At 38.4% G+C, this 25,001-nt stretch overlaps 1 protein-coding gene across 27 annotated transcripts in view; it reads left to right on the forward strand.

Annotated features, from left to right (window-relative positions):
• Positions 1–25,001, forward strand: part of CEP192 (centrosomal protein 192) — a 133,675-nt gene that overhangs the window by 19,817 nt on the left and 88,857 nt on the right. For 20 of the 27 annotated variants that reach the window (XM_006722326.4, XM_005258107.4, XM_047437562.1 and 17 more), the window contains exons 5-11: positions 1,795–1,847; positions 4,150–4,270; positions 6,010–6,158; positions 7,302–7,437; positions 7,904–8,028; positions 18,485–18,824; positions 19,287–19,430. In XM_006722326.4, the coding sequence (XP_006722389.1) occupies positions 1,795–1,847; positions 4,150–4,270; positions 6,010–6,158; positions 7,302–7,437; positions 7,904–8,028; positions 18,485–18,824; positions 19,287–19,430 (1,068 nt within the window). Of the gene's footprint in view, positions 1–1,794; positions 1,848–4,149; positions 4,271–6,009; positions 6,159–7,301; positions 7,438–7,903; positions 8,029–18,484; positions 18,825–19,286; positions 19,431–25,001 lie in introns of those variants that run through there. The other 7 variants (XM_006722330.4, XM_017025804.2, XM_047437575.1 and 4 more) reach the window with 4 other exon arrangements.

Genomic DNA, 25,001 nt, shown 5'->3' on the forward strand with positions numbered 1-25,001 from the left:
ATTGTGCCACTGCATTCCAGCCTGGGTGACAGAGAGAGACTCTGTCTCAAAAAAAAAAAAAAGAAACAATAAAAACAGAACCACAATGAGATGCTGCTTCACACTCACTAGGATAACTATAATAATAAAAAAAAAGGAAAATAACGTCTTTGTGAGGATATGGAGAAATTGAAATCCTCATACATTATTGGTAGAAATGTAAAGTGGCATAGCCACTTTGGAAAGCAGTTTGACAGTTCCTCAAAATGTTAAATATTGTGTTACCATGTGACTCCGCATTTGCACTCCTAGGTATATACCCAAGAGAAAGGAAACCATATGTCCACACAGAAACTTTGTTTTGTTTTGTTTTGTTTTTTTTTGAGACAGAGTCTTGCTCTGTCACACCTAGTGCGTGGTGTGATCTTGGCTCAGTGCAGCCTCTGCCTCTTGAGATCCAGTGATTCTCCTGCCTCAGCCTCGCAAGTAGCTGGGATTACAGGCATGCACCACTACACCCAGCTAATTTTTGTATATTTAGTAGAGACGGGCTACTAAATATACAAATATTGGCTAGGCTGGTCTCGAACTCCTGATCTCAAGTAATCCATCCACCTGCCTCGGCCTCCCAGAGTGCTGGGATTACAGGCATGAGCCACTGTGTCCGACCTCACAGAAAACCTTGTACATGAATGTTCATAGCAGCATTACTCACAACAGCCAAAAAGTGGAAGCAATTCAGATGTTAATCAACTGATGAATGGACAAAGAAAATGTAGTATGGCCACATGAGTGGAGTATTACTCATCCACAAAAAGGAGCAAAGTACTGATACGTGCTTTAATACAGGTGAGCCTTGAAAACATGCCAAGTGAGAGAAGAAAGACACAGAAGGCCACAAAATGTATGGTTCTGTTTATCCATAGGGAAATCTATAGATACAGAATGGCAAATAACGGAAAGTAAATTATTGGTTGTCAGAGGCTGGAAGGTAGCGGGAATGGGGAGTGATTGCTAATGGGTATAGTGTTTCATTTTGGAATAATGAAAATAGTGGTGATGGCTGCACAACCTAGTGAACATACTAAAAGCCACTGAACTGTATACCTTAAAAGAGTGAATTAATGATATATTAATTGTATGTATCAATTAAAAAAACTTCCCATGTACCTACCCATTGGTATAAGATTTTGTCATACTTGCATCATCTCTCCTTTTCACTACTTTTTTCTGATATTTTAAAATTTTTAGATGCCATTTGTGCATATTTCAGTATGCATCTCCAAAAGTGTGGACATTTTCTTACATAACCACGGTGCTATTAACACAGCTAACGAGCTTAGTGATTCTTTTTTTATTATCTGATACAGTTGTTCATATTGATTTGTGTGAATGGGGGTCTGAGAGAGGTTTTGTTATGCTGCAGCACCTTTGTTGCGTCTCGTGTGTCAGTGCCTTGTTGAAATACTCTAGGTCAGTCACACTGTAGTTTGTCCCACTATTTGGGTTTGTCCCTTTGCTTACTCAAGGTGTCATTTCTCTTGTTTCTCTCTCCACATCTCCTTCAAAGCAAAAGTTAGCTGTAAAGTCTTGATTAGATACATATTCAAGTTCTTTGGTACAATTTTTTTTATGAATTCCCTGCCCTAACATTTAAAAACATGTAACTGACCTATGATGGATTCATATACATCATTTAAAAGTGCTTTTATTCTATTTCAAGAGAAAAATATTTCTTGCTATTTTTAGGTATCGTTGGGTATTTGGTTGATAAAATAACCTGGTCTCTCAGTTTGTTTTTGTTTTCTTACACAGACTCACCTATTGATTTTCATTTACAGTCATGGATGAATAATAAGGAACCCAAGGTAACCTTTTATATATTTGGTATCATTTTCTGGAGTACTATAGGGCAGTAAAATTTCATATTTCGCATATATAACTGTTAATATTAGTTAGATGTCATCTACTTTTTTCTAGTAGAGCTCTAACTTATCCAGCTTCAGTAAAAATGGGAGTTTCTCTCAAGTAATGAGAAGGTTCAGGGGTAGTGCTGGTGCCTGGGACTGTATTCTTGGGCTTGGTGATGTCAGAGCTGAGTCCATCTGTTTGCTCTGCTTCACTCTGTACAGGCTTCATCTAGAATGTTAGCTCCATGAGGGCAAGCATTTCTTTGTGTGTGTGTGTATGTGTTTCATTGTATCCTGAGTGCCTGAGTGTCTGGAATGGTTCTCGGCCCTTAGTTGTCACTTAATAATTTGTTAAATGATAGAGAAGCTGTCTCATTTGTTGGCAACACAAGCCTATACTCTTAACACTTGTGATCAGAAAAGAGAAAAAAGACAGGTCTAATGAGCTCCCTTGGCTCTTATGTCCTCCCCTCTGCAAATCACTGTGCCAAGGGGTGGGTTGGGATGAGCCTGGATCTAATGTCCACTTCTGTGTGTGTGCTTGTGCGTGAGTGTGTATACATGCGCAGATAGAGGAATGCAAGTGACAACCCCACTGGACCACCTGAAGTATAAAGGATGAGCTCTTTAAAGGAGAGATGCTGAGAAGATAAACAGTTTATGCCCAACATTACCACCAAACCTGGATTTCAGGCATGCAGTCATGAATTTATGAGACTTACTTACAAAATATAAACTAAACACTGTTAAAACTTATAAAAAGGAGGTACACCTTTTGTAAGAGTTGTAAAGTTTATTTTTATAGAATGAATGCAAAAGGGTCTAAAGTAAAAGTTATTTCCCTGTGCCAGCGATTGGCAAACCATAGCTTATGGCCTGCATCCAGTCTGCTGGCTGTTTTTGTAAAGTTTTATTGGAATACGGTTGTGCCCATTTGTGTATGTTTTGTTTATGGCTGTTATTTGTGCTACAACAGCAGAATTGAGAAGTTGTGACAGAGATTGTACTGCTCATAAAGCCTGAAGTATTTATTATCTGGCCCTTACACAAAATGTTTGTTGACCCTGCCCTATGCACTCACCCTGTATGTGACCCCTAGTAAGTTTCAAGTGCGAGAGATGCTTTGTAGAGGAAGTTAGGTGTAGTGAAGTTGAAATTAATTAATTTTTGAAATTAATAATATAAGGGACCTTAAAACTGGAAAGCAACAAAAGTATAGAAACATGAGATGCTTGATTAAAAAGAGGAAGAAATGAGAATAGGGGAAAATAAACGTGTTAGAAAACAGACTGAAGGGAGCTGCTACTGCGTGTAGGTCTCATCTCATCTGTGGAGCTATGCCACTTTATCAGAATGGAGACATTTTCCAGGGACCAAGCATGGCAGAGTACACAGTGTTCTCAGTAGCCAACATGACCAAAAAGACAGGGATGTTTTACATATTGTGCTTTCCCATACAGATTTTTTCCCAATTTTTATATTATGAAAACTTTCAAAGCTCAGAGCTTATATTGCACAGCTGTTAACATTTGCCATATTTTAAGTGATCATCTATTTTAAATAACAGTAGATTATAGTAGTCCTTGATGCCCCTGGTGCTTAGATATTTGTGAGAATAGCTCAGCACTGTCCTCTCTAAATGTAAAATTGGATTAAGATTCCATGTTTCTGTCTTAAAAATCAGTGCGCATTTTCCAATATAATTCCTATGCTGGTGTTATTTACATATATATGTAATATATATGAAATATAATCACACTTAGAGGGAAATGTTACATTTTCATTCTGGGCCTTGAGTATCATTAAATGGCTGCGTGCCCTTTAGGGTTACATGTTCCCTGGTTGAGGAGCAGAGAAATTGATTTTTCCAATGTAATGGTGCAAACAGTTCCTTAGATACAGGCTGCCTGGTCTAGCTTTGCTGTTATCTTCACTTTCTCGTAAGCCTTGTGTTGCTCAAGTTCAGTTATGTATTTGTGTACTTACTATATTACGAGCCTCTCTGAGCATGTGCACAGTTTGAGGGAAGCCTTAAGTTTTAAGGATGTTCTATTGGGCAGGTCAGGTGAGGGAGGTGGCGTGGGGGAAAGGGAAGTTATTAATACATGTACAATTGCTAGCCCTTTATTGCCTAAGCTGTGATTTACAGATACTGAACACAGTGGAGGTTGAGAACATATTTGGTCCTTTTTGTAGCCTTGTACTATGCTCTTCAGAGCCCTGAATGTGCTTCTCTTACTTGCCATTTTGTTTCTTATAGATTGTTGTGCTTGATGCTGGAAAACATTTTGAAGACAAGACTCTAAAGAGTGACCTAAGCCACACTAGCTTATTAGAAAATGAGAAACTTATCTTACCGACAAGCTTGGAAGATTCTTCTGGTACTGCAGAGTAACCTGTGTTTCCCTGGTCTTCACCTTGCCACTCCACTTTATTCTTCTTTGTTGCAGTAGTTATGATGCCAACTTTTTGGGTTTTTTGTCCTTACCTTTTCTTCCTACCTGCCAGCACTCAAATGGCCACTTCTATTAAGTGATGGAATTGAAGAATTTATTTCTATATATCTATCCTGATATGATTATACTCATCCTCAGTTTAACATAGTTAGGGTACAAAGTAGTCACCTGGAGGTGCCCTTCAGTATATAGCATTGTGTTTAGAAATTAGGGGAACCATGAAATTTTTTTTTTTTTTTTGAGATGGAATCTCGCTTTGTCACCTGGGCTGGAGTGCAGTGGTGTGATCTCGGCTCACCACAACCTCCACCTCCTGGGTTCAAGTGATTCACCTGCCTCAACCTCCTGAGTAGCTGGGATTACAGGTGCCCACCACCATGTCTGGCTAATTTTTGGATTTTTAGTAGAGACAGGGTTTCACCATGTTGGCCAGGCTGGTCTGGAACTCCTGACTTAAAGTGATCTGCCCACCTCGGCCTCCCAAAGTGTTGGGATTACAGGCGTGAGCCATCGCGCCTGGCCAGAACCATGAAATATTTGGCCTCTGCTCTCGGACACCTTAGTCAGGTGCAGAGAAGAGATGCAGAGCCAATTGTCAGATTGGTTTTCATAAACCCAACAGGCCCCAAATGTGCCTGGGAATTATAGGGGGTGAGAAATTAACTCTGATTGAGGCAGGTACTGAAGCTTTCTAGAAAAAGGATGGAGCCTGTGCCAGGCCTTAGATATGGGAGGAGGAGGAGGACATGTCAGGAAGCAGGAACAGCATCAGCAAAGGCCCTGCTGTAAGCACGTGGGTTGTGTTTTGGGAAACAGCCAGGGGTTTTGTGTGGCAAGTTTACAGCACCTATAGGAGGCCACACTGGTAAATAAGCCCAGAAAAGTAGACTGGGGCCACATTATGCATGACTTTGAAAGCCAGGCTGATGAGCGGAGTGAGCATCACATCCATGGAGAGCAGGTTTTGCTATCAAAGGAGTTTTCAGACTTTTTTGGATTTTGGAATAGTGGATAAATAATCATTGACCTGAATGTATCCAATCTTTGATTGCTTTAGTATGCTGGATTCTTGTAGACAGAATTGCTAAGACATAGGTGATGAGTGTTGTTGAGACTCTTAATGTTGATTGCAAAATTGACCTCTAAAGTGACATTGCCAACTTAGAAGACCATGACTGACTGAGGGGTCATGTTTTATTTTGTGCTTGCTGAGCTGGGTGTTACAGTGTTGAAAACTCCTACAGTGGCCTTTCTCCTTCCCTCCCTCCTCCCTCCTTCCTCCCTTTCTTTCTTTTACTTCTCCTGTGATAGGCTCATCTATACTTTTTTGAAAGAGGTAACCATTTGCCACACCATTTTCTGGAAAGTCTGCTTTCTTCTCATTGATTTGTGATGCCACATTTATTGTATCCTGACTTTTGATAACATGCCAGGGTCTGTTTCTGTCCTGTCTTCTCAAAGAGGTTAAATATTTATCTTGTATTAAAATGTTCATAATGGTTTATAATTGACTGAAGTTACAATAGTTTTCTCATGTCAAACAAAAAAGACACCAAAATCTTAGTCCATTGACTCATTTATGTCTTATCGGCCTTTTTAATTACAAATTATTGCTTAGTCACTACTTTAAAGCATGTCCTGTTTTTTCTCGATTTTATCAATAGATGATGATATTGATGATGAAATGTTTTATGATGATCATTTGGAGGCTTATTTTGAACAACTGGCAATTCCAGGAATGATATATGAAGACCTAGAAGGACCAGAACCTCCAGAAAAAGGTTTTAAGTTACCTACAAATGGTCTTAGACAGGTGTGTTCCAGTCTTTATGATTTTTCAGAAATTTGACATTAGAAAATTACTATTGGTCTCCTTGGATGTTCACATGAAATGTAAGCCTTTGGACTTTGGACTTTTCTTTGGACTCTGTGTTTCCGAGGTATGAATTGATAAGAAATGCCTACCCTTTCTTCCTTCTTGGTACCTTTCCCTCACCTACAGAAAATTAAAGGAGTAACACAATGGACATCTACACCCTCTTCCTCCAGTTAACCAATTGCTAAAGTTTGCCACCTTTGCATTTTCTTTCTCTCTCCATAAATACTTTCTTCTCTGAATCATTTGAAAGTAAGTCACAGAGAGTATGACATTTCACTCGAATACTTCAGCATTTATCTTTTGTAGATAAGGACATTTTCCTGCATAACCACAATTCTGTTACCTAACTTTGATATAATAATTTAAATTACTGTACAGTCCATGTTCACATTTACCCAATAATCCCCAGAATATCCTTTATTCTTACTATTTTTTATCTACAATTTAATCAAAGATTAACCTTGCCTTTGGTTGTCCTGTCTCTTTATTCTCTTTTAATTTGGAGTAGTTCTTTCATGACGTGATCTATTTTGCAAAATCTAGGCCCTTTGTTTTGTAGAGTGAACTGTAATCTAGTCAGGAGGGAAAAATAACCATAATCTGTTTTCTCTCCTGACTAGATTAGATTAAACGTTTTGGCAAGAATACAGATTAAACAGTTTCTCATGAATGGATTCATAGTAAACCAAGCAGTGTTGTGTACTTCTCATTGCCCTACACCGGGAGACGTTTATCTCTCCCACAATTGGTGATACTGTTTTTGATAATTTTGGCTAAGGTGATGTCAGCTGGATGTCTCCTTGTGAAGGTAGCTTTTCCCCTTCGTTATTAATAAGTCATCTGTGGGATGAGATATCAGCCCTTTGATCATCTTATTCCCCGGCAACTCTTCACTAGCTGGTTTCAGTGTCCTTGCTGACTCTTGGAAATATTGATTACTCTCGTGGTGACAATGGCGATTTTTCTAATTCCTTCTACACTTATTTTCTGGCATCCTTCAGTAAAGCCACATTTTCTCCCTCAAAATATTTCATTTTAATTTAAAAGATTAATACAGCTAAGATATTCTTTCAACAGGCAAATGAAAACGGTAGCTTAAACTGCAAGTTTCAATCAGAAAATAACAGCTCTCTGATTTCCCTCGACTCACACTCTTCTGAAACAACTCACAAAGAGTCTGAGGAAAGCCAAGTTATTTGTCTACCTGGGACTAGTAAGTATAGAAATATGATTCTTTTGTTCTTAAGTTCTAGTTTTGACTTTACTTTTTTTAAAAAAAAAATATTTCTCTGGTATGATTTAGCATATATTAACTCTTCTAGTCCCTCAGGTCTTTAGACAGTCTAAAACTTTTCAAAAGAGCTTTTAATAATAGCTGAGTAAATTAGTGTTACTAGAAATACCGTAGTATATATTTCTTGGATTGAATATTACAAATAATTGTATTCTATCCAGACATTGATAATTAAATATGAATTCTTTGGGTATGGTAGCAGTTTATCATGTTTATTATTGCCTCTTACTGTTGCTTATTTTCTCTCTACGAAAATGGCTAAATTTGTCATAGGAGTGCTAAGTATTAGGGTTACATAAAATAATTTGACTGGCAAGAATCAGTTATTATGTTAGATTACTCAGATTTGATGTGGCTCCTTTAACATTTTTCTTTATTTTTTCAGGTAATTCTATAGGTACTGGAGATAGTAGAAGGTACACAGATGGTATGTTACCATTTTCCTCTGGTACTTGGGGAACTGAGAAAGAAATAGAAAATTTGAAGGGTATTGTTCCAGATCTTAACAGTGTAAGTTATGCATTTTTCTTAGATTTCCTATAAAAAAAGGAATAAGGGGTCTTTTGTGTTTATATGATATCAGTTTTTTTCAAAGAAACAGTAACTGTTGACTTCTGAAAAATACAGAAAAAGTACTCACTACTGATAATTTTTCGATATGTTTATAAGTATCATACAATTATATACATTTTCTTGCATTTAAATATTTATTGACTTGCATTTAGATTAGTCATTTGGAAAGTTCTTTAGCCCAGTGTCCAGTCATTACATGAAAAAGCAAACGGATCTTTTACCTTGCTCAAACATGTTTGTTTTTCATTGTTTCAGTTTTTTCTGTTTGTTAATAGTACCCCGTTTCTCCTGTGCCTGAAGCTTGGTAGTCATTTCTGACTCATACCTATTCATTATGCCCTTTTTAAATAGTGTTATTATAGTTTTATAAACTGTGATTTGAATTTTGCATGTAGGTTAATTTTTTCTCACTTAGACCCACTTGTCCAGTACTGATTAAAATAATGCTTGCTTTTTTGCTTTATTCTGTGCATCTCTATTTTGTACATGTTAAATATATTTTTAATTTAAATTTTAACTTGTAAAATACATATAAAATTTACTATCTTAATCTTTTTTTTTTTTCTTTTTGAGACAGTCTCACTCTGTCACCCAGTGCAGTGGCGTGATCTCAGCTCACTGCAACTTCTGCCTCCCAGGTTCAAGCAATTCTCCTGTCTCAGCCTCCCAAGTAGCTGGGATTACAGGCGCACATCACCACCTGGTTAATTTTTGTATTTTTAGTAGAGATGGAGTTTCACCATGTTTGTCAGGCAGGTCTCAAACTCCTGGCCTCAAGTGATCTGCCCACCTTGACTTCCCAAATTGCTGGGATTACAGGAGTGAGCCACCACACCCAGCTACTATCTTAATCATTTTTAAGTGTACAGTTCAATAATGTTAAGTACATTTACATTGTGCAGCCAATCTTCAGGACTCTTCATCTTGTAAAACAAACTCTACCCATTAAACAACAAACCTCAGTTCCCTCCTGCCTTCCAACTCATGGCAGCTACCATTCTACTTTCTGTCTCTATGAATTTGCCCACTCTGGGTAACCTCATATAAGTGAAATCATACAATATTTGGCCTTCTGTGTCTGGCTTATTTTATTAAGCGTGATGTTTTCAAGGTCTGTTCATGTCGTAGCATATATCAACATTTCATTTTTTCTTATGGCCGAATAATGTTCTATTATATATACCACATTTTATTTATCCCCTCATCCTTCTGTGGACACTTGGGTGTTTCTGTCTTTTGGCTTTTGAGTGTAATGCTGCCGTGAACATCAGTATACAAATACCTGTTCGAGTCCTAGCTTTCAGTTTGTTTGGATATATATGTAGGAGTGAAATTGTTGGGTCATATGGTAATTCTGTGTTTAATGTTTTGAGGAACTGCCATAGTGTTTTTCACAGCAGCTGCACCAGTTTACATCCACCAACAAAACACTAGGATTCCAATTTTTCCACATCCTATTTAACACTCTTTACTTTTTTCCCTTTTTAAATTATAGTTATCCTAATGAGTATGAAGTAGTATCTCATTGTGGTTTTGATTTGCATTTCCCTGATGACAGTGATATTGAACATCTTTTTATGTGCTTCTTTTCATGTATGTCTTCCTTGGGGAATTGTTCATTTAAGGCCTTTGCCCACTTTTTAATTGAGTTTTTTTGTTGTTGTTGAATTGTAGAGTTCTTTATGTCATCTGGATATTAAGTCCTTACCAAATGTATGAATTGCAAATTTTCCTCCCATTCTGTAGGTTGTCTTTTACTTTCTTGATATTGTCCTTTCACGTGCAAAAATTTTAAATTATGATGTAGTGTGATCTATTTTTATATTGCTACCTGTGCTTTTGTTGTTATAGCTATGAAATTGTTGTCAAATTCAATGTCATGAAGATTTTCCTGTTTTATTCTAAGAGTTTTATAGAGTTAGCTCTTACATTTAGATTGTTAATCTGTGACTTTGTGAAAGAAAAAGAAAAAAGGGAAAAAGAAAACGATTGTTGATTTGTTTCGAGTTTATTTTTATATATAGTGTTAGGTAAGGGTCTAACTAACATCATTCTTTTGCATGTGGATATTAAATTTTCTCAGCACCATTTATTAAAAAGGCTGTTCTTTCTCCATTGAATGGTCTTGGCACTTTTGTCAGAAATCAATTTATCATGTATGTGAGGGTTTATTTCTGGCTTCTCTAGCCCATTGGTCTATTTGTCTGTCTTTTTGACAGTACCACACTGCTTTAATCACTATATCTTTGTAGGACATTGGGAAGTGTTAGTCCTTCATCCTTCAACTTAATTCTTCTTTTTCAAGATTTTTTTGGCTGAGGCCCTTTGCAATTCCATATGAATTTGAAGATCAGCTTTTCCGTTTCTTTAGAAAAGGCTGTTGAAATTTTGAGAGGGATTTTGTTGAATCTACAGGTCACTTTGGGTAGTATTGATACCTTTGCAGTGTTAAGTCTTCATATTCATGAAGACACAGGATGTGTGTCCGTTTAGGTCTTTAGGTCTTCTTTCTTTAAACAGTGTTTTGTAGCTTTCAGTATGTCTTTCACTTCCTTGATTAGATTTATTCCCAAGTACTTTCGTCTTTTAGATGCTATTGTAAATGGAATTGCTTTCTTAATTTACATTTTGGATTGTTTATTGCTGGTGTTTAGAAACATCTGATTTTTGTGTGCTGATCTTGTACCTTCTAGATTTTTCTCCATTGTTATCTTCTAGGAGTTTTATAGTTTTGCATTTTACATTTAGGTCTGTCATCCATTTTCAGTTAATTTTTGTGAAAGGTGTAATGTCTTTTTTGAGATTCATTTTTTTGCATATAAATATCCAATTGTTCCAGCACCATTTGTGAAAAGACTATCTTTGCTTCATCGTGTTGCCATTGTTCCTTTGTCAAAGATTAGTTTGACTATATTTATGTGGGTCAGTTTTTAGAATCTCTATTCTGCTGATCTGTTTGTTCTTTCACCATTACATCACTGTCTTGATTACTGCAGCTTTATTAAGTAATGAAATTGGACAGTGTCTTCTCACTTTATTCTTATTTTTCAAGATTGAGTTGGTTATTCTGGGTCTTTTGCCTCTTTGTGTAAACTTTATTTTTTTTTTTAATTTTTCTTTTTATTGTTTGAGACGGAGTCTCTCTCTGTCACCCAGGCTGGAGTGCAGTAACATGATTTTGGCTCACTGCAACCTCCACCTTCTGGGTTCAAGCGATCCTCTCTCCTCAGCCTGCCAGGTAGCTGGGATTACAAGTGTACGCCACCATGCCCAGCTAATTTTTGTATTTTTAGTAGAGATGAGGTTTCACCATGTTGGCCAGACTGGTCTCAAACTTCTGATTTCAAACGATCCACCCGCCTCTGCCTCCCAAAGTGCTGGGATTACAGGCATGAGCCACCATGCCCAGCCTGTGTAATCTTTAGAATCAGTTTGTCAGTATCCAAATTCAGAACTTGGCTGGGATTTTGATTGGTATTAAATTGAATGTATAGGTGAAGTTGGGAAGAACTGACATTTTGACAGTGTTGAGTCTTCCTATCCATGAACATTGAATATCTCTCTATTTATTTGGTTTTCTTTTATTTCTTTCTCAGAGTTTTGTAGTTTTCTAGCACATAGATGTTATATATATTTTGTTAGATTTATACCTAACTTATTTCATATGTGGGGGTGTTAATGTAGATAGTATTGTTTTAAAGTTCAAATTCTACTTGTTCATTGCTAGTGTATAGGAAAGCAGTTAACTTTTATATAATAAACATGTATGCTGTCATCTTTTATTAGTTCCAGGAATTTTTTTGTCAGTTCTTTTGGATTTTCTGCATAGATAATCATGTCATCTACAAACAAAGACAGTTTTTATTTCTTCCCAATCTATATACATTTTATTTCCTTTTCTTGTCTTATTGCATTAGATAGGACTTAAAGACAGTTTTTATTTCCTCCCAATCTATATACACTTTATTTCCTTTTCGTGTCTTAATTGCATTAGCTAGGACTTATAGTATGATGTTGAAAAGTAGTGGTGAGAGGAGACATCTTTGCCTTATTTCTGATCTTAGTGGAAAGGCTTCTAGCTTCTTACTATTAAGTATGATGCTAGCTATAGGTTTTTTAACTTATTTTATTTTTATCAAGTTGAGAATGTTTCTCTCTCTAGTTTACTGGGAATTTTTATCATGAATGGGTGTTAGATTTTTGTCAATTTTTTTTTTTTTTGCAGCTATTGATATGATCGCATGATTTTGTTTTTTTTGTAGTCTGTAAATTGATTTTTGATTGTTGAACCAGGCTTGCATACCTGGGATCTCCTTGGTTATGATGTATAATTCTTTTTATATAATATTTGATTTGATTTTCTAATATTCTGTAGAGGAGCTTTGAATCTGTGTTTATGGGAGAAATTGGTCAGTAGTTTTATTTTTTTGTGATGTCTTTAGTTTGGGTATTAGGTTGATGCTGACTTCATAGAATCTGTTAGTAAGTATTCCCTCTGCTATTTTCTGAAAAAGGTTGTAGAGAATTAGTATAATGTTTTCCTTGTTTGGTGGAATTCACTGTTGAACCTATCTGGGCATGGTGCATTCTATTTTGGAAGGTTATTCATTATTGCCTTAATTTCTTTATCAGATAGGGGCCTACTCAAATTGTATCTATTTCGTGAGTTTTTTTCTGATAAGAAGAATGTGTATTCTGCAGTTTTTGGGTGAAGTATTCCATAGATGTCCATTATATCTAGTTGATTGTTAGTGTTGAGTTCAACTGTGTTGTTATTGAATTTCTTCTCGCTGGATCTGTTTCTGATAGAGGAGTGTTGAGGTCACCAGTTATGATAGTTGGTTCATCTATTTCTCTTTGTAGTTCTATTAGTTTTTACTACCTGTATTTTGATGCTGTCTTGTAAGGTGTATACACGTTAAGGATGGTTATGTCTTCCTAGAGAATTGATTCCTCTATATCATTATGTAGTACCCTGCCTTATCTCTGATAACTTTCCCTACTTTGAAGTCTGCTCTGTCTGAAAGTAATATAGCTATTCCTGCTTTCTTTTGACTAGTGTTTTAATGGTATATCTTTCTCCATCCATTTACTTTTAATCTACATGTTGGTTTCTTGTAGACGTCATATACTTAGGTCTTGTTTTTTGATTCTCCTCTGAAAATCTCTTTCAGTTGGTGTGTTTGTTTGTTTATTTATTTATTTATTTTTTGAGGTGGAGTCTTGCTCTGTTGCCAGGCTGGAATGCAGTGGTGCAATCTCGGCTCACTGCAACCTCTGACTCCCTGGTTCAATTGATTCTCCTGCCTCAGCCTCCCGAGTAGCTAGAATTACAGGCATGCACCACCATGCCCAGCTAATTTTTGTATTTTTAGTGGAGACGGGGTTTCACCATGTTGGCCAGGATGGTCTTGATCTCCTGACCTCATGATCCACCCGCCTTGGCCTCCCAAAGTGCTGGGATTACAGGCATGAGCCACCGTGCCTGGCCTATTTATTTTTATTCATTTATTTTTTTGAGACCGAGTCTCGCTCTGTTGCCCAGGCTCTAGTGCAGTGGTGCGATCTCAGCTATCTGCGACCTCCACCTCCTGAGTTCAAGCAATTCTCCTGCCTCAGCCTCCCAAGTAGCTGGGATTACAATTGTGCGCCACCCCACCTGGCTAATTTTTTTGTATTTTTAGTAGAGATGGAGTTTCACCACGTTGGCCAGGCTGGTCTCGAACTCCTGACCTCAAGTGATCCACCCGCCTTGGCCTCCCAAAGTGCTGGAATTACAGGCGTGACCCACTGCACCCAGCCAGTTGGTGTATTTAGACCATTGACTTTGAAAGTGATTAATTGATATAGTTGGATTAATGTCTGCCATGTTGTTCTTGTTTTTTTCCCCTATTTTTTTCTTTCAGTCTTATTCTTCTCTTTGTGGTTTTATTTTAAGAATATTATTATTATTATTATTACTATTTTGAGACAGGGTCTCTATGTTGCCCAGAATGGAGTGCAGTGGCAGGATTATAGCTCACTACAGCCTCGAACTGCTAAGCTCAAGCGATCCTCCTGCCTCAGCCTTCTGAGCAGTTGGGACAACAGGCACATGTCACTACACCTGGCTAACTTTTAAATTCTTTGTAGAGCTAGGGTCTTGCTATGTTGCCCAGTCTGGTCTTGAGCTCCTGGCCTCAAGTGATTCTCCCACCTTGGCCTCCTGAAGTGCTGGGATTACAGGGGCCAGCCACTGTGCCTGGTCTCTTTGTGGTCTTAATTCAGCATTTTATATGATTCCATTTTCTCTTTGTTAGCATATCAGATATAATTCTTTTTTGTCCCACTTTTTTTAGTGGTTGCTCTAGAGTTTGCAGTATATATTTAAAATTAATCCATATTCACTTTCAGATAACATTACACTGCTTAACAGGTAGTTTGAGTAATGATAATAACAAAATATTCCTAATTCTTCCCTCCCATTCCTTGTATCATTGCTATCATTCATTTCACTTACATATAAGTAAATATAAGCATATATGTGTGTCTGTATATAGACACACACCCTCACCTATGTATACATACACGTAAGCATACATAATTGAATACATTGTTGCCATTATTTTTCTGAACAATGTTATTAGACCAGTTAAAAATTAGAAAAATAAAATGTTTGTTTTACCTTTACTTATTCTGTCTTTGATGCTCTTCCTTTCTTTGTAGATTTAAGATTCTGACCTATATATTTATCTTCTCTCAAAATAACTTTTTAAAAAATTTCTTGCAAGGCAGGTCTGCTGGCAACAAATGCCTTCAATTTTTGCTTGTCTGAGAAGGTATTTCCCTTTCATGTTTGAAGGATAATTTCTTAGGGTACAGAATTAGAAATTGATGGTTTCTTTCTTTCAACTCTTTAAAGTAGTTTACTTCACTGCCTTCTTGCTTGGCATGGTTTCTGAGGAGAAGCCAAATGTCGCTCTTTGTTCTCTGTGAGCAAGGTGATTTTTTTCCTCTCTGGTTTCTTTAGGATTTTTTCTTTATCTTTGATTTTCTGTAGTTTGAAATGATATGCTTAGGTGAAGTATTGGTTTTGGTTTTTATTTATTTTTTTCCAAGTACAGCCCTATTGCAGTATGCCTTTATCTTATTTGGAGTTCTGTGAGCTTCCCGGTATGTGGCTTATTGTCTGAATTAGTTTGGGGAAATTCTCAGTCATTATTGTTGCAAATATTCTGTTGCTTTCTGTTTGTCTTCTCTTTTTGATATCTCTGTTATGCATATGTTATACATTTTGTAGTTGTCCTGCAGTTTTTTGAGATTGTTTTTTTCATTCATTGTTGTCTTTGCATTCAGTTTTAGAAGTCCATTGGCATATCCTGGAGCTCAGAGTATCTTTCCTGTGCTGTGTCCAGTCTACCAATGAGCCCAGCGTAGACATTCCTCACGTGTTACAGTTTTTGACCTCTGGCATTTCTTTCTGATTCTTTCTCATAAGTTCCATTTCTCTGTTTACATTGCCACTCTGTTCTTTCATGTTGTCTGCTGTATCCATTAGAGCCCTTAGAATATTCATCATAATTGTTTTTGATTTCTGGCCTGAGTATACCAACATCCCTGCCATATCTGGTTCTGCTGGTTCTGATGCTTGCCTTGTCTCTTCAAACTGTTTTTTTTGCCTTTTAGTATGCCTTTTAATTTTTTCTTGTTAGCTGGACGTGATGTACCAAGTAAAAGAACTACTGTAAATAGGCCTTTCATTATGTTGTGGTAAGGTGTTGGGGAGGGAAAGCATTCCATAATGCTGTGATTCAGTCTCAGTCTTTAAGTGAGCCTGTGTCTTTAGACTGTGCACTCCACAAGTGTTTCTCAGTTTTTTCCTCCCCTTAGGATGGACAGGGTGGCTAGAGGGAGCTGGAGTTGGGTATTTAACTTTCCCCAGGCTACTTAGGCTCAGATAAAACCCCAGCAGGTTAGGTTTTCTTGAGGTTTGTTCTTGTTTTTTCTAAGAACAAAGTGCCCTGTTATATTTCAAAATTACCCCTTTCTCCTCCCCATACTGGAAGCCCAAGGGGATTTTTCTCCATTATTTGCTGTGAGAACTTGGTTGTGCTGCAAGTAAAACTCACAAAAGCATGGGGCCCACCTATGACTGGATCCTCTGGAGTTTTTAACTCTCAGACTTTTCCACACTGAGCCTGCAGCAATTCACCAGTTACATGTCAGGTATTCCTTCTCTGCTGGTTACTGTGGAGGTTTCTGCTTGGGAGTATATCCCCTGGTATGTTAGGATGCTCTGTATTTGCCTGTCTCTCCAGTTTTAGAGGCCCCAGTTTATCCTGTTACCTTCTCTTAGGGATCTAAGAAGAGTTGTTGATTTGTCAGTTTGTTCATCTTTTTACTTGTTGTCGGGATGGAGTGGCGACTTCCAAGCCCTTTATACTCAGAACTGGAAGCTCGAAGTTGTAACTGCCTTCTTTGTTCAAGATTAAGTTGCTTTATGGATGAGACAGCCAGTTTTCCACATTATGTTTCTTTTTAATCTTTGCAAGTGTTGTATATGAAAAGCAGTTATCTTGTTTTATTTGACTTTTTTTTTTCTATTGGGGTATTTGTATTTTAACTTAATTTTGTAAGGTTTTTATGTTATGGAAATATATTGATCTTTATATGTTTTAGGCTTTAATGTGTGTATGAGCTTCCTAGGTTGCCAGAGCAAATTACCACAGGCATGCCTAAAACAACAGAAATTTATTTCCTCACAGTTATGGAGGCCAAAAGTCTGAAATCAAGGTGTTAGCAGGGTGATTCTCCCTCCTAAGGCTCTTAGAGGAGAATCCTTCCTGGTTCTCCCGGCTTCTGCTGGCTCCTGGTGTTCCTTGGCTTGTAGCAGCAGCACTCACATCTCTCTCTGTGTGTTCACGTGGCCTTGTCCTCTGTGTCTTTGTCTAAAATTTTCTTCTCTTGTCTGTGATACAGACATTGGTCATTGTGATTAGGGTCCCTAAATCCAGGATGGTCTTATCTCAAGATCCTTAAGTTAATTACATCCGTAAAGACCTTGTTTCAGAATAATATCGCAATTTATAGTTACCAGGCTTAGGACTTGGATATATCTTTTTGAGGGGAAACAATTCAAGACATCAGAGTGTTACACTTAGAAGATGTTATCCACTGAAGAATATAAGACAATCATCTGTATTTTTTCCTAGTACTCTTATATCTAAATCTTTAAGTCATCTGGAATTTATTTTGATGTTTGTTTATTTATTTTATTTATTTATTTTTGAGACGAAGTCTCACTCTTGTCCCCCAGGCTGGAGTGCAATGGCGGGTTCTTGGCTCACTGCAACCTCCGCCTCCCAGGTTCAAGTGATTCTCTTGCCTCAGCCTCCCGAGTAGCTGGGATTACAGGTGCCCGCCACCACGCCCGGCTAATTTTTGTATTTTTAGTAGAGATGGGGTTTCACCATGTTGGCCAGGGTGGTCTCGAACCCCTGACCTCAGGTGATCCGTCCGCCTCGGCCTCCCAAAGTGCTGGGATTACAGGTGTGAGCTACTGCGCCTGGCCTTGATGTTTATTTTTATATAATAATGTTGGCAAAGCACCCAGTTAATAAATGGTGGCACTAGGATTTGAACCTATGTCTTTCTTATTCGAAAGTTATCATTTATTTAGAACGACCTCCTTTTAGTGTTGTAACTTTCAGAAACTGTGCCTTACCAGGTTGTTCTTATTGCTTGTCTTACTATAGCAGAAAGGACTGCTGTTAATAAGTTTCATTGGCATGTGATACCATGGTGGCAGCCAAATGTCCACTAACAGTACTGAAGACACTTGAGCCCCTTTTCAGCAGTTGTTATTTTAGGAAGGAATAAGAAGTGCCACTTGGAAAAATGTTTTGGAGAGCATAGTTTGAAGGCACTGGATTAATTTGCTGTGTCTGATACAAATTTTACTGGACTGGCCAGGGCCATTTGTAGTATAAACTGCCTTACTCCTATTAAAAGATATTAATATCTAGGGCTGTTTATCCATATTAATTTTATGAGGCTAGTCACACTAATAGGCTTACCATGTTTGTGGAGACTTTTATTGGTAATGATAAAAGTTGGGCTGACAACATTTCTATCATCCTGTAATGTAATGCACACACAGAGCTCACTTTTGGTATGTAAATCTCTTGATGTGTTTCCTATGACCACATCACAAAGTCTGGTTTTGGTAAGTTGCTTATCATTGGTTCATATATTCACATATAGTCTAGAATACAGCGAATACTGTGTGTTCTCTTCTTTCATATAATAAACATTTTATATCAACTATATAATTTTTCCCATAAATTTTAAAATAAGTTATAAAAAACAAGACTTACTGTTGCTCTGTTAAAAAATCTGATTTTTTGTTTTAAAGGAATGTGCAAGTAAAGATGTTCTGGTGAAGACCCTCAGGGCTATTGATGTGAAACTTAACTCTGATAATTTTCATGATGCAAATGCCAATAGAGGTGGTTTTGATCTGACTGACCCTGTAAAACAGGGGGCAGAGTGTCCTCACCAAAATAAGACAGTTTTGCACATGGATGGATGTTTAGACACTGAGACTCCTACGGTGTCCATTCAAGAAAATGTGGATGTAGCCTCTTTGAAGCCCATTAGTGACAGTGGAATTAATTTCACTGATGCCATTTGGTCACCAACTTGTGAAAGGCGAACATGTGAATGTCACGAGTCCATCGAAAAGAATAAAGACAGTAAGTGGACTTTTTAAAAAATAGAGTGAAAGAAATAGATGTTCATACATTTTGAATAGGACATATTTTCATGTGAAATGTGCCAGTCTTTCCTGTTGAAATATTTTAGTGTTTTATAGTTTAAACAAAATTTTAAATCTACTTGTACAGGGAGGATTGCTCAGAAATGGTATCTTTTCTCACAGATCTAGTGAAAATGTACCTTTCTAGCTAACTCTTAGCATTCTTTCTTTATTCCTCATTCTCCATTATAGACTTTTTTGTGAGTAAGGCTGGCTTGCTTTCTATCAAAGAGATACTTTTCTTTTGGGGAAATGGGTTTTCCTTTTTCTAACTAGCTTTGGCAAACTTCAGTACTGTTGATAACTAAGGTAGTCATCTGAATTTAAAAAAAATTGAGAATGTTTTGTCATTTTAGTTGTTACATGTGTCATTTGATATTTTGGGAATTTTATTTTTTAGAAACAGATCTCCCACAGAGTGTGGTCTATCAAAATGAAGAGGGTAGGTGGGTCACAGACCTTGCCTATTACACATCTTTTAATAGCAAACAAAATTTAAATGTGTCTCTAAGTGATGAGATGAATGAAGACTTCAGATCTGGTTGTAAGTATATGGATAAACATTTATTATAACATTTTCACTGTTTCTGATCTTTCTAAGATTACTGTGTATATGTTGGTCAGCCACATCAGATCCCTTCTGGACTATCACTGTATTCTGGAAGCACTTCACTTGTTTTTATAGGACCCAAGGTTTTAGTTAGCCAGTCTTAATCATTGTAGAATGAGCCAAGCCATTTCCTTAAGCAAAGCCAATGAGTGAGAATAGCATTTGTATACTACCGTGTAGACCCCATAGTATTGCAGGGCTGGAAGGGACTTTAGGTTTTGCTTGTCCCTTTAAAATTTGTGACCTGAGCAAAGGAAATGTCCTGATAAATCAGCAGTTACAAAAACCAGTCCATGAAAGGTAGAAAGTGTGGTAGAAATGATGGAAGAAAAGTAACCAAAAATACAGTGAAATCTCAAGGGATAAAAGCGTGAAAAGAAACAGGTTGTTGATTAGCATCATCCCCGACAGTGAATATAGAAACTGGTTTAGGTCTACACAATGCCAGGTCACGAGATTTTGAGCTGGAGACTGTGAAGATGCTATGCTGCAACCCTCAGGGCTGAGCTCTTCTGTAACTGGAAGGAGCCACGCTGCTCAGGGGCCTGTCAAGCCTGGCCTTATTGTTGTTTTTTTTTTTTTTTTTTTTTTGAGACAGAGTCTCGCTCTGTCGCCCAGGCTGGAGTGCAGTGGCGGGATCTCGGCTCACTGCAAGCTCCGCCTCCCGGGTTCACGCCATTCTCCTGCCTCAGCCTCCCAAGTAGCTGGGACTACAGGCACCTGCCACTACGCCCGGCTAATTTTTTGTATTTTTAGTAGAGACGGGGTTTCACCGTTTTAGCCGGGATGGTCTCGATCTCCTGACCTCGTGATCTGCCCGCCTCGGCCTCCCAAAGTGCTGGGATTACAGGCGTGAGCCACCGCGCCCGGCCACCTGGCCTTATTGTTAATAGGCTTGCGCCAGAGGAAGAAGTTATCCCATCTACTGCTTGTGCTAAGCTTCTTTAAGAAAGTCTTGTAATGTGGAATTACAGCAATAAATTAGGTAGTATGCCAGTCCTTAAGAAACTGTTTATCAGCCCAGAATGATGAGACAAGAATGCAGTACACAGTCATCGGCATCATGAGAAACTCAAACCAAAAGCACTGGAATTTAGAGAAGAAACAAATGTTGCACGAGTAGGTAGCAAAAGAATTTCACATAGGAAGCCACTTTTGAGGTAGAGTTTTCACAGGTAATCCTTTGGGGGCATGAGAAATTTCAAATGGAGAGAAAGCCCAGTTGGAAAGGAATGAGATGGTGAAGTGTGGGCATGTTTGAGAAGGTGCATGGTCCAGTGTGGCCAGCCTTTATGGCAGGATAAAGGGAGAGTGGCCGGAGGCTAGGAGGTGAAGCTGGAGAGGTCATTAGGGCCAGGGAGTGGATTGAGTTTTGACCACCATGCCCAAGATTGAGGCTTGTCTGGAAAGCGTCAGGACTCGTTGCTTGTGGAACTTGCTTGGTGAATCTTCTCCTGGTAGTTAGGGTTGTTTGGGATAGTTCTTAGGATGTTGTAGAAATCTAGATGTCCCAGTGAAAATGAAGAGAGTAGCTAGTGAAAGACGTAGAAGTAAAATGGTTAGGATTTGATGGCTGGATTTCAGGGGATAGTAGAGAGGCAGGAAGAGAGGAGGGTCTGTGGTCTGAGTTACTTGGGGCAATGGCGATACCATTACCTGAGGCGGGGAGTCAGAAGAAAGTGTAGATTTTGGGTGATTGTGGTTTGAGGCAGAAGTAGTCATTAGTGGAAATAGGGGTCAGAAGTGTGAAGCTGAGTTGCGGTTAGGACTTGCTCAATGATATCTTGATCTAAAAATGATGATGCAGACCGAATGGTGGATATTTATCACTTAAAAGATCATGGAATTCTCATGTGTTGCTGGTGGGAGTGTAAATTGGTACAGCCATTTTGGAAACCTGTTTGGCAGTGTCTTGTAAGGGTGAACTTTATGAACTTCATACTTAATGACCTAATAATTGTACACCTGAGTACATATGCAGCAGAATAGGGCGTATGTATTCACCAAAAGACATACTAAAATGTTTATAGCAGCACTAGTTGTATCAGCCCCAAATTCTCAAATTCCCATTAGCAGTGGAAGTTTCCAAGTCACTGCAGAATCACCCTCCCCTCCCTCAGCCATAGAATGGATTATGTTTATTCATACCCTGGAATATTAGGTTGCAATGAGAATGAGTGATGTGAAGTTACATGCAACAACATGGATGAATCTCAGGAACATGTGGAATGACGTAAAGCTGACTAAGAACACACACTCTATAGTTCTATTTGTATACAGCTGGGCAATGCACTCCTGCAGAGCCAGCCACAGGGCAGTGGCTACATGTGGATGGGCAGGTAGCATGGGAAGCAGGCTCGGGTGGTTTGGGTACTGGCAGTATTATGCTTCTTAATCTGTGCTGTTGGCTATGCAGATGTGTTCAGATTGTGAAAATTCCTTGAGCTGTACACTTCACCTCTCTATCGTAAAAAGTTTTTAAAAATTAGCAAACTGAGAATAAAAGATTTGCAATTCATATTACAGGTTTAAAGCCCATTCCCCTAATATATAAACAGTTCCAATAAACAATAAGAAAAAGACCAACTACCCCAAAATTGGAAACAATTTATAGAAAAAGAAATAAAAACGATCGTTAAATGTACAACAAAAAATGTTCATTTTTAATCATGGAAAGAAATGCAGTGTAAATCCACCCAGTCATAGTATTTTTCAGTTATTTCCTTGGTAGTGATCCAAAAGTTTGGTGATAAAACTGTCTTAGCAAAGATGTGAGGGACACAGGTATGCTAGTCCATTCTTGGCACCGCGTCTACCTATAATGACATTGCAGCATCTAGCAAAGTTACGCATGTACTATCCTGTAACCGAGCAGTTCTGCTTCTGGGAATTTATTCTTCAGATACACTTGCATAAATGATACATGGTGTATGTGCAGGCTCATTACTTGCAGCATTGTCTGTGATAACAACGTTAGAAGCAATGTAGATGGACAAAATAGGGTATAAATTAAGGTGCATCCATACAAGGAGGTACCCTGTGGCTATACAGAATGGTAAAGGAGCTCTTTAGTTACTCAAATGGAATGATCACTGGAATAAATTAAAGATAAAGTCCACCTCAAAGCACATAAAGTATTCTAACATTTGTGTAGAAAGGTAGGAGAGGGGAGGATGTACATACAGATATTTGTAAATACATACAATGGAAAGATAAAACAAGATACTGACTACAGGAATGTCTAGTTACTTGAACTCAGAAATCAAAAATTCAGATAGACATTTCAGAAATATTTTAGCTGTTGGTTGCTTCTGGGGGTGTGGGAAACTAGGGTCAGGGATGGGGAGATAGTTTTCAGTATATACCCTTGTAAGTCTTTGGTTAACTTTGAAAAGCTCTTTATTGTGGTGTCATAAATACACCTTTTAAATTTGAATTATTAGATGTATTACTATTAAAAAATAAAAAATGATAACGGAAAGATTGAATGAAACCATCCTTGTGCTTAGGGAATGAATACTAGTCTGGTTGGAAAGGATGACTAGCATGGGTGGGGAGGAAAGGGAAACGGGGAGATGGAAAGCTATTAAAAAGGTTGGTGGACAGAAAACCTGATGGGTGCTGGGAAGGATGGACTAGATCCAGGGAAATAGGGGTGGAGGTAGCATTAATGAAATGGGAGCCTTTTTACTGAAAAGGAGAAAGGAACTTTAAAAATGTAATAAAAGGAGATATTCAGAAAAGGAAGGTTGGAAAAAAGGGTGTAATCTTGTAACGTCCAAGTCATTTTAAATGAAAATTTGCCTACTTATAAACTTTATTCAGAACAGTTCCTTAAGAGAGCCTGCCTCGGCCGGGCGCAGTGGCTTACGCCTGTAATCCCAGCACTTTGGGAGGCCAAGGTGGGTGGATCACCAGGTCAGGAGATCGAGACCATCCTGGCTAACATGGTGAAACCCTGTCTCTACTAAAAAAAAAAAAAATACAAAAAATTAGCTGGGTGTGGTGGTGGGCACCTGTAGTCCCAGCTACTCAGGAGGGGGCTGAGGCAGGAGAATGGCGTGAACCCAGAAGGCAGAGCTTGCAGTGAGCCGAGATTGCACCACTGCCCTCCAGACTAGGCGACAGAGCAAAACTCTGTCTCATAAAAAAAAAAAAAAAAAAGCCTGCCTCCTCTTCTTCCCCATGCCTGCCTTCCTCCTTGCCGACAGCTCAGCTCCATCTATTCAAGGTGCTGCATTGCTGCCGCTTATGACCTGAGAGTTCGACAGTGGGGGAAACACAAATGGGCTGCTTCCACGTTTGGCCTCGGAAGCATTCAGTACAAGAGGATTGTTGTTTTAGGTATGCCAAAGAATTGGCATAGATTCTCATAAAAAGTGAAGTTCTGCTTTCTTATTGGCTGTGATTGATTTCTGATGAGTAGACAAGATAACAGTGTTAATATAGATGTTTCTTTGATGAATCCCTTATAGTTCAGAGAAAAAGCATTTAGGAATATAATAAATCCTATTTTGAGCTGTTCGGTCAATTATTTAAAAACCAGGTGATATTTAACTCCTCAAAGTAAATTAAGTTTCTTTTGGGTTACCTTCTGTATTAGTTTGTTTTTATGCTGCTGATAAAGACATACCCGAAACTGGGAACAAAAAGAGGTTTGCTTGGACTTACAGTTCCACGTGGCTAGGGAAGCCTCAGAATCATGGTGGGAGGCAAAAGGCACCTCTTACATGGCGGCAGCAAGAGAAAAAATGAGGAAGAAGCAAAAGTGGAAACCTCTGATAAACCCATCAGATCTCGTGAGACTTATTCACTATCATGAGAATAGCATGGGAAAGACCGGCCTCCATGTTTCAGTTATCTCCCCCTGGGTCCCTCCCACAACATTTGAGAATTCTGGGAGATAACAATTCAAGTTGAGATTTGGGTGGAGACACAGCCAAACCATATTACCCTCTTTTGGGCCGAGTTTCCTACTTCCCTTCTCTTGGCTGTCAGATTTGGTTGGTTGCTCCTTTCATCTTTTAGGGCAGTGGTTTTTAACTTAGCTTGAGTCATAGATTCCACAATGAATCTTCATAGAAATATATGGAATGTATGATTTTGCATGTAATTTTGAGGGCTTCATGGTTCTCCTGATGCTCATTCCTAGGTTCTGTGCTGTAGGTTAAGAATGTGTTTTTTCTTAGGCTGGGCATTTTGGCTTATGCCTGTAATCCTAGCCGTTTGGGAAGCCAAGGTGAGTGAATTGCTTGAGCCCAGGAGTTTGAGACCAGGATGGGCAACATGGCAAAACCCCATCTCTAGCAAAAAATACAAAAATTAGCTGAGGGTGGTGGCACACGCTTGTAGGCCCAGCTTTTGGGGAAGCTGAGGCAGGAGAATCGCTTGAGCCCAGGAGGTAGAGGTTGCAGTGAGCCAAGATTGTACCACTGCACCCCAGCCTGTGCAACAGAGCCAGACCTTGTCTCAAAAAAAAAAAAAGTGTTTTGTTTGTTTTTTTTA

Source organism: Homo sapiens, chromosome 18 (genome assembly GCF_000001405.40).
Source record: "Homo sapiens chromosome 18, GRCh38.p14 Primary Assembly".
In the NCBI taxonomy this organism is placed as follows: domain Eukaryota; kingdom Metazoa; phylum Chordata; class Mammalia; order Primates; family Hominidae; genus Homo; species Homo sapiens.